Source organism: Homo sapiens, chromosome 17, assembly GCF_000001405.40.
Source record: "Homo sapiens chromosome 17, GRCh38.p14 Primary Assembly".
In the NCBI taxonomy this organism is placed as follows: domain Eukaryota; kingdom Metazoa; phylum Chordata; class Mammalia; order Primates; family Hominidae; genus Homo; species Homo sapiens.
The window spans coordinates 54,929,224-54,941,919 of record NC_000017.11 but is presented as its reverse complement, the minus strand read 5'-3'; the positions used below and the strand labels follow the sequence as shown (position 1 = coordinate 54,941,919).

Below are 12,696 nucleotides of genomic sequence, written 5' to 3'. Positions count from 1 at the left end.
CATATGATTTAAACCAGGTATACGCCCTCGAATCTTGGTATAGATGTTCATCATAGGGTTTCTCAATGTATGATAGGAAAACCACTGCATTATGATCCTCCTGGAATGCATGTTAAAGATTCTTGCTGCTGAATCAGAGTTTCTGGGGACCAGCAATTTGACTTTTTGACAGTCACCCAAGTGATTTTTATGCATACTGAATTATTAGATCCAAGTAGGTTACAGATTAAAACAGGCAGCTATTAGCTGAAATTTGACTTTTAATGAATTTTATAGACACTTGTTGTAATGGGATTTTATCTGTATTATTCTTTCTCTCATTACCCAACAAGATTAGCAAGATAACACAAACAGAATCAGCTATTTTAAACCACACTATTTACCAAGCGACTTCAATCTGCCTACATTTCAACATTTACTTGCATTGCATGTAGCCAAAACAAGAGGTAGCCAACAGAAGATACTGACCTAACTCAGTGGTTCATGAAAGAGCCATTGACACTTAATCATTTCCCAACACATGAATCCTTTCTTCTCTTCTTCCCTTATATTTTGCTCTTTTTTCTTCCCAGTTTGATTCTTCTTTCTCATTTTCCTCCCTCTGCCCCTCCCCCTTTTAAATATAGAAAAGTAATTCAGTGATTGGGTACATAAGTATTTAAACAAAACACTAGGAAACTTTTTAAAAAATCTAAATCCACTGATACAAACACACTGCCAAAGTATGTTAAGTGAAAAACAAAAGGTTCAGAACACAGTGATAGTATGCTGCATTTTATTGAATAACGGAGAAAGAAATTCATATTCCTATTTGCCTAAAGACACTATGGAAGGATAAATCAGAACCTAACAAATAATTATCTGGGTGGGAGTAGAGCGTGACACTAGGGAAAAGGAGAGAGGGAGGATGAAGAGGGAATGAAAACAAGAATTGTCTTATACAACTTTTTATACTGTTTTGATATCTGAATAATGAAAATGTGTTGCCTATTATCTAAAATATATACACTTAAAAGGAAAAAAGCTATTGACATTGGCATAAGGCAAATTCAACTGCTATTTATTCTATCCTGCCTCTTCTGGAACTTACGTAACCACTCTTTCACTCTTTTTCAGTTTTTTCCTTCCTGTATCATTCTTGTTTCTTTATGTGAATAGAGGCAAATATTAATATATATTCTTATTTCCAACTTTCTTACACAAATGCAATATATTACACACACACTACTTAGCACCTTTTTTTCCTACTTAGCAATAAATATATTGGTGATTATTACTTTTATCCCCCAGCTAGACAGTAATATGTTGTACAGATGTTTATTTAACCAGTCCCCAACTGAGGGATATTTTGAGTTGTTTCCAATTACTTGCTATTGCCCAAAATGTTGTAAAGAATAATTTTGTAAACACCTAACTGTGTGTAAGTGTGGTATAAATTTCTACAGATAAGATTGCAGATTCAAAGAAATAAATGCATTTATAATTTTAATAGATATTGCCACCTGCCCCTATAAGAGTTACATAATTTTGTCATAGTAACTGTCTTTCCATAGCCAACAAAGTATGTTATGAAATATTGGGACTTTTGCCAACCTGAGAAGTAGAAAACAATTTCTTATTAGACTTTAATTGACATTTCTCTATAAGTAAAGTTGAACATCATTGCATATGTTTATAGGTCATTAATATTTCTTTTTAATATTGGACTATCAGAAAACCTGATGGCTGGGTGCAGTAGCTCACATCTTGTAATCCTAGCACTTTGGGAGGCCGAGGCACATGGATCGCTTGAGCCCAGGTGTTTGAGACCAGCCTGGGCAACACGGCAAAACCTCACCTCTACTAAAAACACAAAAATTAGTTGGGCATTGGGGCATATGCCTATAATTCCAGCTACTCAGGAGGTTCCAGCTACTCCATCAGGTTTTATTAGTCCAATTTTAATATTGGACTATCAGTCCATCAGACTTGCTACTTACTGGCTATACAAACTTGGGCAAGTTCTAGTTCCTTCAATAGAGAAATGACCAAGAAATCTCAGTCTCTTTTCCTGTATGATGGGAATAATGATAACAGGCTGGTGCAGTGGCTCACTTTAGGAGGCCAAGGCGGGAGGATCACCTGAGGCCTGGAGTTCAAGACCAGCTTGGGCAACAAAGCGAGACCCCATCTCTACAAAAAATTTTAAAAATTAGATTAGCCCAGTATGGTGGCGCACACCTGTAGTCCCAGCTATTAAGAGGTTGAGGTGGGAGTATCCCTTGGGCCCAGGAGTTTGAGGCTGCAGTGAGTTATAATGGTGCTACTGTACTCCAGCCTGAGTGACAGAGCAAGACCCTGACCTAACATCGCTGACCTAAGTACTTTAGTGAAGATTAGATGAAATAAACAAAAATAGCTTAACTGAGTGCCTGCCACACAGCAAGTACCCTGTAACTGATGGGGCCATTACTCTTAATTTTGAACCTCATTGCTCTTCTGCCTCCTTTGTCATTGTATTTCCCCTGTTCTTCCCCATCTCCTGTTACTACTAAAAATAAACAGAGACAATTTATTGAAGGCTTACTATGTACCAAGTGCTATATCGCCTGCACTGCACTGCACTGCAACCTCTACCTCCCAGGTTCAAGTGATTCTCATGCCTCAGCCTCCCAAGTAGTTGGAATTATAGGCATATGCCACAATGCCCAACTAATTTTTGTATTTTTACTAGAGATGAGGTTTTGCCATGTTGCCCAGGCTGGTCTCAAACTCCTGGGCTCAAGTGATCCATGTGCCTTGGCCTCCCAAAGTGCTAGGATTACAGATGTAAGTCACTGCGCCCAGCCATCAGGTTTTCTTAATTGTAAGGAATCTAAATGTCATGATATTAGTTCTGCAGTGTTACTGACATACTTACGGGGGTATCTCTGTATTCTCCAAGGCTAGCAAGTTCATCTGTGGATGAAGACTGGGTTTTAAGTTGTTTGTTACATCAGAACTTGGAAGGCTGAAATCTAAAACACAAAATGGACTTGTTTGGCTTTAAAACATTTTGTCAGTCAGTTATGCTGGATTTTCTACAGTAAAAACAAAAAAAAAGAAAAAAGAAAAAGAAAAAAAAAAGAAAAACCCACCAAATAAAAGAGATTAATTTAGATATTTCTGTCACCCTAAAATCATGAGATTTCCTAGCTCTAAGAGAAATTAAAAAGCATCATTTATGGTAGGTAGAGAGAGAAAGAATTTCCCTGCCATGAGAAGAAGTTGTTGTAAGGGTAACAAATATTATTGTATTGGATTTTCTAAAATCCCAAGCTGATCCAGAATGCAAAGGATTTTACATCTTGTTCTGCCTAGCACAAAAGTAAAAAATTACAGTACATACTGAGCTCTACCTTCACCTCAAGCTCCAGTCCATAATCTTTTTTTTTTTTTTTTTTTTTTGAGATGGAGTCTCACTTTGTCACCCAGACTGGAGTGCAGTGGCACGATCTCGGCTCACCACAACCTCCACCTCCTGAGTTCAAGTGATTCTTCTGCCTCAGCCTCCTGAGTAGCTGGGATTATAGGCGCCCACCACCACTCCCGGCTAATTTTTGTATTTTTAGTAGAGACAGGGCTTTGCCATGTTGGCCAGGCTGGTCTCGAACTCCTGACCTCAGGTGATCCACCTGACTCGGCCTCCCAAAGTGCTGGGATTATAGGTGTGAGCCACTATGCCTGGCCTCCAGGCCATAATCTTAAGTGAGATACCCCAAAGGGAATAATTCCCTCCCCCTCTGAAAATTCTCAATTAAAAACTCAGGAAAACTCTCCAATGTAACTGACTCTACACATCCCACTGGCCTACATAAACAAGTAGCCAACATTTTAGAACTGAGTAGAGTTCTAAGAAAACCACAAATTCAGTGATACTGAATATTTTTACTCCGGAAACAGCAGATGACATATGAGAAAAACAAACTGCTTTTAATTTGACAAAACTGGATTTCAGCATTTTTCATCATCCTTATTTTGTAATTTGCCAAACCCTTGCTGGGAATAAGGACAGCAGAAGATAACAGGTAAGATAGGTAACTCTTTTATAAATGTTTATAAAATGCATTGTAAGCTTTGCTACAATGCATTTTATAAACATTAGTTTGTTAACCTTGACAACCACCCTTTAAGGCAATCATTGTTCCCATTTTATAAAGTGAGACTCTCAAAAGTTAGGTGGCTGAGAGGTGGCAGAACTGGCATTTCAACTTGGACTTCTCTGACTTTAAAGCCTGTGTTTTTCCTTCTACATTTCACAACCACTCAGTTCATACCTTGTAATCCCTGAATTTCTCCGCTTGCATCAGAGATACTCCCTTACCTGATGCTGAGGTATAGCAGAAAAACCCAATGATAATAGTGTGTAGGTTCACAGTAGACTTTAAGTATTGGCCATTGGGCTGAACAACTTCTACAAAGCAGGCCAGGTGAATTCCATGAGATTCTAAGTGAGTAGGATGAGTTTCAAGGACCTCCTCGCCCAGACACATCCCATTGCTATACTGGGTTTGACTCAACCATTTGCCGGGAAGTAATCACATCTCCTAACATAGCGCTCTGACATTCAACCTGACTTCAGTCCTTCTTAGGTGGTATTTAATCACGTAATTAAGGAGAACTGTTTAACATCAAGCTCTTCTGCTGGTCTGAAAAGACCTGAGTGTTTATTTACTTAAGCCTGAAAGTTGATTATTCATGGTGTTGAGTTCTCCCAGAGTGGCCCTAGGCATCCGGGGACTGGGACTTAGGTCGAGGAGATCTTGAGATGGGGCAGAAGGCTCACTGGTAGTCTGAAAACAAAGCAAAAAAAAAAAAAAGTGTCATGTAGTTTATCACAGCTTTCTCCCCATACTTTCTCCTTTGTAGAGGGGAGGATCCTATTTGGATGCATTTTAAGGAAGAATTCTCCACTCAACGAGCAACATTAGTATGAATCCCATCTTACCACCTACATAGGTTCCTGCTTCTTATTAATAACTTCATAACATTAACTTTACATTACATTAACAGTTTAACATTAACGTTAATAACATTAAGTTATTAAGGCAAGTAATCTATACCATTAAAACCACTCCAAATTATGAATGCATATCTTCCTCTTTTTAAGACTTGTTTTAGGTAAGCCTTGCTTCTCACTGTAATTGGCAAAATGTTCAATTGTTTATTTTATAACATTTCTCATCACTTACATTGGTGGCTTCCTTCTGGTTCTTATTTTGCTCCAAAATCCTTTGTTGGTTTCTAGTAAACCTGTTTAAATGATCAAAATGCATGTGTTTTTAAAAAAATATATGAAAATGCTATAAAAATCTAACAATTATTAATACACAAATATTTAGGAATGAAGACAATCAGCCTCATCCTCACACAATTATCAGTAAAATACTTTTAATAACCTTTTTCCAGCTTACAGAGTATTCATACCCTCAGAGAAAACTGTGAGAAAATAGAAAAGTATTTAAAAAAAACTCATCACCCAGAAATTGTTAAATCTATTAACATTATTCCAGTATTTCATCTATAAGTGCATCTATTTTTAAGCTTAGTTGAAAGGATACTTTACATAATTCTGTATCCTAATTTGAGTATGCTGTGAGAATTTTTCTAGCTGAAATACAATTTTTAATGGCTATATTTTACCTTATGAATCTATCACACTTTTAACCACTCTATTAGTGATTATTTGTTTTCTACTTTGCCATTATAAGTAATTTTCCAAAATATTCAAATATATTTAAAGTATTTTCACTATTTCACTGTGGTTTTTTTTTTTTTGAGATGGAGTTTCGCTCTTGTTGCCCAGGCTGGAATACAAAGGTGCAATCTTGGCTCACCACAACCTCTGCCTCCCGGGTTCAAGCAATTCTCCTGCCACAGCTTCCCAAGTAGCTGGGATTACAGGCGTGTGCCACCATGCCCAGCTAATTTTTGTATTTTTAGTAGAGACGGGGTTTCTCCATGTTGGTCAGGCTGGTTTCGAACTCCCGACCTCAGGTGATCCGCCCACCTCGGCCTCCCAAAGTGCTAGGATTACAGGCATGAGCCACCGCGCCCGGCCTTCACTGTGTATTTTTATAAGACACTTAACACATACCAAAAAATTGACCTTCTACAACTCTGATTTAATTTTACATTGTCCACTGAGAGTAAAGGAGCATAAACGTAAAAGACCAGAGAAGTTGAAGGCAAAAGTCCAAAGTTTAAGTGTCAGTGTTAGTACCTTGTAGCTATATGACTAAGGGTATGACTTCCTGAACCTTGGTGCCCCAGCTGCTAAGAGGGAATAACATTTGAACTATTTGCTCAGAAAGTTATTTTCAGGGGCAAAACTAGATAGCACAGGTGGATGAACGTGGAAATGCTTTGTAAACTGAGATTTGCTTTAGAAACATATAGTATTACTGTTATGACAATTTGACTTCAGGATCCTAAACACTTTAAAGTGTAAGAGTTTATACTGAATCAGGCCTCTGAGCCCAAGCCTGCAGGTATACATCCAGATGGCCTGAACCAACTGAAGAATCACAAAAGAAGTGAAAATGGCCAATTCCTGCCTTAACTGATGACATTACCTTGTGAAATTCCTTCTCCTGGCTCAGAAGCTCCCCCACTGAACACTTTGTGACTCCTGCCCCTGCCCTCCAGAGAACAACCCCCTTTGACTATAATTTTTCGCTACCTACCCAAATCCTATAAAACTGCCCCACCCCTAACTCCCTTTGCTGACTCATTTTTTGGACTCAGCCCCCCTGCACCCAGGTGAAATAAACAGCTTTATTGCTCACACAAAGCCTCTTTGGTGGTCTCTTCACGCGTGACAGAATCTGCACACACAGTTGAATGATTTTTCAAAAATATGTGTTTTAAATTCCACCTAGTTCAGCCAGGCACTGTGGCTCATGCCTGTAATCCCAGCACTTTGGGAGGCTGAGACAGGTGGATTACTTGAGGTCAGGAGTTTGAGCCCAGCCTGGGCAACATGGTGAAACCCCATCTTGACTAAAAATACAAAAATTAGCTGGGCGTGGTGGCATGTGTCTCTAATTCCAGCTACCAGGGAGGCTGAGACAGAAGAATCGCTTGAACCTGGGAGGCGGAGGTTGCAGTGAGCTGAGATAATGCCACTGTACTCCAGCCTGGGCAGCAAAGCAAGAGTCCATCTCAAAAAAGAAAAAAAAAAAAAAATCCATCTAGTTATAGCACTAGCTTCTTATATTCTAGTCAGTTATGTGCTGGGTATGAACAACCTTCCTAGATCAAGCCCTGAGTGACAAATTTCAATTTCTTTATTTGCACAACTATTCCCTGGATGTAATGAGCAGAGACTTTGGGGGATGTTGGAATAGGGTGAATGTATTTTGCAAGTGGATGGATATGAATCTTTAGGGGCCAGAGAGTGGACTGTGATAGATACAGTAACGCCCACCCTCACAAAGGTACCCACATCCTAGTAAACACAACCAGTGAATATGTTAGGTTACATGGCAAGGGGAAATTAAAGGTTGAAAAAAGAATGAAGTTTGCTAGTGTTAAAGGAAAATAAATCTCAGGACCCCAAAATCACTAAGCCAAAGGGAAAAGTCAAGCTGGGAACTGCGTCAGGCAAATTTTATTCCTAAATAATATAGCTACAAAGATAAAAAGCTACCTACCTCTCCCACAATTTGCCTAAGAGAAAACTCCTTGTGGGCCTCAAGATCTTTACCCTAAAACAGCTCTGCTGAATCTCACCCTGGCAATATAAACTGATAGCTTATCTTCATAAGTACAGGACAAAGGACAGAACTCAATTGCTTCCTCTGCCCTACTGCTTATGTAGAAGTGCAGATTCACTGAGCCAGACTAAGGCATGAGTGACTATTCCTCTAGCCCCTTCTCACACGTAAATTGTGTATTCCGTGAAAGGCTGATCAAAGACTCAAAATAATGCAACCATTTGTCTCTTATCTATTTATAACCTGGAAGCCCCCTTCCCTGCTTTGAGTTGTCCCACCTTTCTAGATGGAACCAATGTACATCTTACACATATTGATTGATGTCTCATATCTCCCGAAAATGTATAAAACCGAGCTGTGGATGGCCAGGTGTGGTAGCTCACGCCTATAATTCCAGCACTTTGGGAGGCCGAGGTGGGTGGATCACGAGGTCAAGAGATCGAGACCATCCTGGCCAACATAGTGAAACCCCGTCTCTACTAAAAATACAAAAATTAGCTGGGCGTGGTGGTACACGCTTGTCGTCCCAGCTACTCAGGAGGCTGAGGCAGGAGAATCACTTGAACCCGGGAGGTGGAGGTTGCAGTGAGCCAAGATCGCACCACTGCACTGCAGCGTGGTGACAGAACAAGACTCTGTCTCAAAAACAAAACAAAACAAAAAACCAAGCTGTGCCCCCACCACCTTGGGCGCATGTTGTCAGGACCTCCTGTGGCTGTGCCACAGGTGCATCCTTAACCTTGGCAAAACTAACTTTCTAAATTCATTGAGACCTGTCTCAGATACTTTTGGTTCACATTAGTAAGCTGCCCTTAATTGGGAGATTATCTGGGACTGTACAGATGAACCCAATGTAGTCATAAAGGTCATTAAAGGTGGAAGAGAGAGGCAGAAGTGGAAGTAAGAGTGATATGATATAATCAGGCCTGAACTAGACATGGTTGGCTTTGAAGATGGAGAAAAGGGGCCATGAGCCAAGGAAAGTGAACAGCCTCTAGCTGTTGCAAAAGCTAGGAAGATGGATTCTCCTCTGGAGCGTCCAAAAGTGGATAAAACAGAGGATAAGCCACTAAGTTTGTGTGAATTTGTGACAGCAGCCAGAGAAAACTAGGAGACTAGTATCTTTCTAGAGGCAAGAGTTTCTCTCTGAATCTTAGGATGTAAGTGTTTCACAGTTGTTCTGGTACACAGGGTTCAAAGCCCAGTCAGAACAAGCTGTTCACAGAAGTAATCCAATCTCCTGAGAGCTAGACCAAATAAACACAAGTTCCCCCTTGAAGGAAGCCTTTAGGCAATGGTCTCATGGTTTGCAATAGAATTCTCCAAAATGAAAGCCAGAAGGCAGCACTCTACTGAAAACAATGTGGTTTTCCTTGGATATTTTTTTGCTTATAAAAATTTGTTCCACAGAAAACAAGAGTAACAATTGTGAGTTTCTTCAGTGCTAAGAAAGAAAGCATGGTGGCCAGGCGCGGTGGCTCACGCCTGTAATCCCAGCACTTTGGGAGGCCAAGGAGGGTGGATCACCTGAGGTCAAGAGTTCAAGACCAGCCTGGGCAACATGGTGAAACCCCGTTTCTACTAAAAATACAAAAACTAGCCAGGCATGATGGTGTGTGCCTGTAATCCCAGCTACTTGGGAGGCTTAAGGGAGGAGACTACTCCTCATATTGTCTTATGCCCAATTTCTGCCTCCAAAGAAAGAAAAAGTAAAAACTCAAAGGCAGAAATGAAATCCACAAGCAGACAGCCCGGCGCCACACCCTAGGCCTGGTAGTTAAAGATCGACCCCTGACCTAATCAGTTATGTTATCTATAGATTACAGACATTGTAGAGAAAAGCACTGTGAAAATCCCTATCCTGTTTTGTTCCGATCTAATTACCAGTGCATGCAGCCTCTAGTCACATACTCCCTGCTTGCTCAATCAATCACGACCCTCTCACACGCACCCCCTTAGAGTTGTGAGCCCTTAAAACGGACAGGAATTGCTCACTCGGGGAGCTCGGCTCTTGATACAGGAGTCTTGCCAATGCCCCTGGCCGAATAAACCCCTTCCTTCTTTAACTCAGTGTCTGAGGAGTTTTGTCTGCGGCTCGTCCTGCTACAGGCTGAGGCAGGAGAATCGCCTGAACCCAGAAGGTGGAGGTTGCAGTGAGCCAAGATCGTGCCACTGCACTCCAGCCTAAGCACTCCATCTCAAAAAAACAAACAAACAAACAAACAAAAAAAAAACGAAGAAAAAAGAAAAAGAAAGAAAGAAAGCAAGCATGGTTCCTAGGCTTACATCTTCAGTCGATGCCCTTCTCTGACAGTAAATATGAGACAGTGAAGGAAAGAAACTACCATTTAATAGCTACTGGTTTTATGTTTCTCTTTTTTGAGACAGGGTCTCACTCTGTCACCCAGGCTGGAGTGCAGTGGCACGATCTTGGATCACTGCAACTTCTGCCTCCTGGGCTCAAGAGATGCTCCCACCTCAGCCTCCTAAGTAGCTGGGACTAAAGGCGTGTGTCACCATGCCTGGCTAATTTTTGTAATTTTTTGATAGAGATGGGGTTTCACCATGTTGCCCAGGCTGGTCTCAAACTTCCTGAGCTCAAGTAATCCGCCCACCTCAGCCTCCCAAGGTGCTGGGATTACAGGTGTGCACCACCATTCTTGGCCCATAAATACTGGCTTTATTTCATGGTTTCTCTTAATTCACTCATGATAAGTGGGAAGAAAAACCTAGTCAATAAATGTAAAGGTTAAATGGGACACCGGTGCAGAGGAAGAGAAGAAATTACTATTTAATGGATGTCAATGTGCTAGCACTCTGCTAGGTGTTTTCATATGTATTATCTCATTTAATCCTCAAAAAAAGCCCAACCCTCTAAAAAGGTATTATTATCCTATTTAATACATCAAAAAAATAAGAAAGAAAAAAACTTAAATCTTAGAAAAGTTATGCAACTTATCCAAAATCATCAGCTAGATTTGAATCCAGGCCTGTTCACCTCTTTCCCTTATGTCATACTGGTCTCATTCTTTATCAGCTGATTAGAAATACGGTCACTGTGCAAGTAGAGATTCCCAGTAATTCTCAACAGAAACACTGCCCCTAAGGGTGTCTTAACATGTCATTTTATTATTATTTCTTTTAGAGGTGGGATTTCACTCCATCACCCAGGCTGGAGTGCAGTGATGCGATCATAGCTCACCACAGCCTCAAATTCCTGGTCTCAAGCTATCCTCCCACCTCAGCCTCTCTAGTAGCTAGGCTATAAGCACCTACTAGGACCACCACACCCAGCTAATTTTTTTTATTTTTTATTTATTTATTTTATTTATTTATATTCTTGAGACAGAGTCTCACTCTATTGCCAAGGCTGAAGTGCAGTGGCATGATCTTGGCTCACCACAACCTCCACCTCCCAGGTTCAAGCAATTATCCTGCCTCAGCCTCCTGAGTAGTTGGGTCTACAGGCATGCGCGACCATGCCCAGCTAATTATTTTGTATTTTTAGTAGAGATGGGGTTTCACTATGTTGGTTAGGCTGGTTTCGAACTCCTGACCTCAAATGATCTGCCCACCTTGGCCTCCCAAAGGGCTGGGGATACAGGTGTGAGCCACCGTGTCCGGCCTTATTTTTTATTTTTTGTAGAGACAGGGTCTTACTATGTTGTCAGGGCTGGTCTGGAATTCCTGGGCTCAAGTGATCCTCCTGCCTCGGCCTCCAAAAGTGCTGAGATTATAGCTGGGAGCCACCATGCTGGGCTGAAATGTCACTTTAACTAGGAGAAAGACCTCTAGCATTTACTGAGTAGGAGCTGTACAAGGGAAAACTGTCCCACCCCACATGCCAATACCTTTCCTATTGAGAATGGAGAATCTAGAAAGAGGGGTCACTTGTAGGCACTCTGATAAGAATGCTGAGTAATTGGTGGTGAAAGTAGAAATGGAAGAGGGGTAAAGAGGGTACATGATCTGCTCACCTCTCATATCCAAGGATAGCATTATTCAAATCCTCATTCACCTGAATTAGCTCAACAGTTACATCTTCGTTCTCCACCACCACAAGCAGGTCCATGATCCTCTCCTGCATCTCCCGACCTGTTTTATAGAGTTTCTGTCAAAGAAAGGAGAGAGATTTCTTCTTCCACACTTGGAACATTCTATAAAGACATCTGACTCACCAATCTGCGCATACCTACAGTCACCTCCACGTTAAGTAGCCTGTGGGGCACTACCAAAGTACTTAACTATAAACAGCTTATCCTTCCTATTGGAAGGCAGTGAGTCATAAACTGATTATATTTTCCTTTAAAAATCAAAATAGGTGTCATAAGAATAATATGGTACATTGAAAATAATACTGGACTAAAACCCAGAAGTGTTGTATGGGAATTCTAAATGTAGTGCTTATTAGCTGTGCCATGTTGGGGAAAAAAAAAAAAAAACACATGTTTTTTAAATCTCAGTTTTCTCATTGATAAATGAAAATTATACCCCTTGCCACATCTACCTCAAGGGTTGACATAAAAATCAAATGAGATGTGTGTAATGAGGAACTCTATAACTATAAAGCATAAACATAAAATGTTATTGCATTATTAGCAGTAGCAGAAGTAGTTAAAATACATTTACAGTGGCATTATTTTATTTCCTGTTACGTTGTACTTAAACATTTAAAGTTTATAGTTATATCACATTTTGAGGCAAACTAAAACAGGATTAACAAACAAATCATGAATACCCTTATTTGGACTACCTAGAAATACTGCATTAAACCATGACTCAACCTCCCAAACCCATTTTTTTTTTTTTCTCATAAGCATCAGAGCCATCTACATTAGACTTACTGATCCAGAATCTTCAGGCTGGGTGTCTGAAAATCTACATTTTTTTAAAACAAGCACTCCAAAGTGTTTCTTATGTACACTGATATTTAAGAACTTCTGCCTTACAACTGACTTTT

The 12,696-nt window shown here is 40.3% G+C and overlaps 1 protein-coding gene across 9 annotated transcripts in view; it reads right to left on the bottom strand.

Annotated features, from left to right (window-relative positions):
* TOM1L1 (target of myb1 like 1 membrane trafficking protein) overlaps positions 1-12,696 on the bottom strand; it is a 61,105-nt gene that overhangs the window by 20,037 nt on the left and 28,372 nt on the right. For 6 of the 9 annotated variants that reach the window (XR_243612.4, NM_001321175.2, NM_005486.3 and 3 more), the window contains 4 exons: positions 11,714-11,847; positions 5,211-5,271; positions 4,694-4,811; positions 2,900-2,996 (listed from right to left, as the gene is read on the bottom strand). Coding sequence is in view for 8 of the 9 variants with exons in the window: in NM_001321175.2 (NP_001308104.1) it covers positions 2,900-2,996; positions 4,694-4,811; positions 5,211-5,271; positions 11,714-11,847 (410 nt within the window). In the remaining variant the exon portion in view is untranslated. Of the gene's footprint in view, positions 1-2,899; positions 2,997-3,886; positions 4,812-5,210; positions 5,272-11,713; positions 11,848-12,696 lie in introns of those variants that run through there. The other 3 variants (XM_047435068.1, XM_047435067.1, NM_001321173.2) reach the window with 2 other exon arrangements.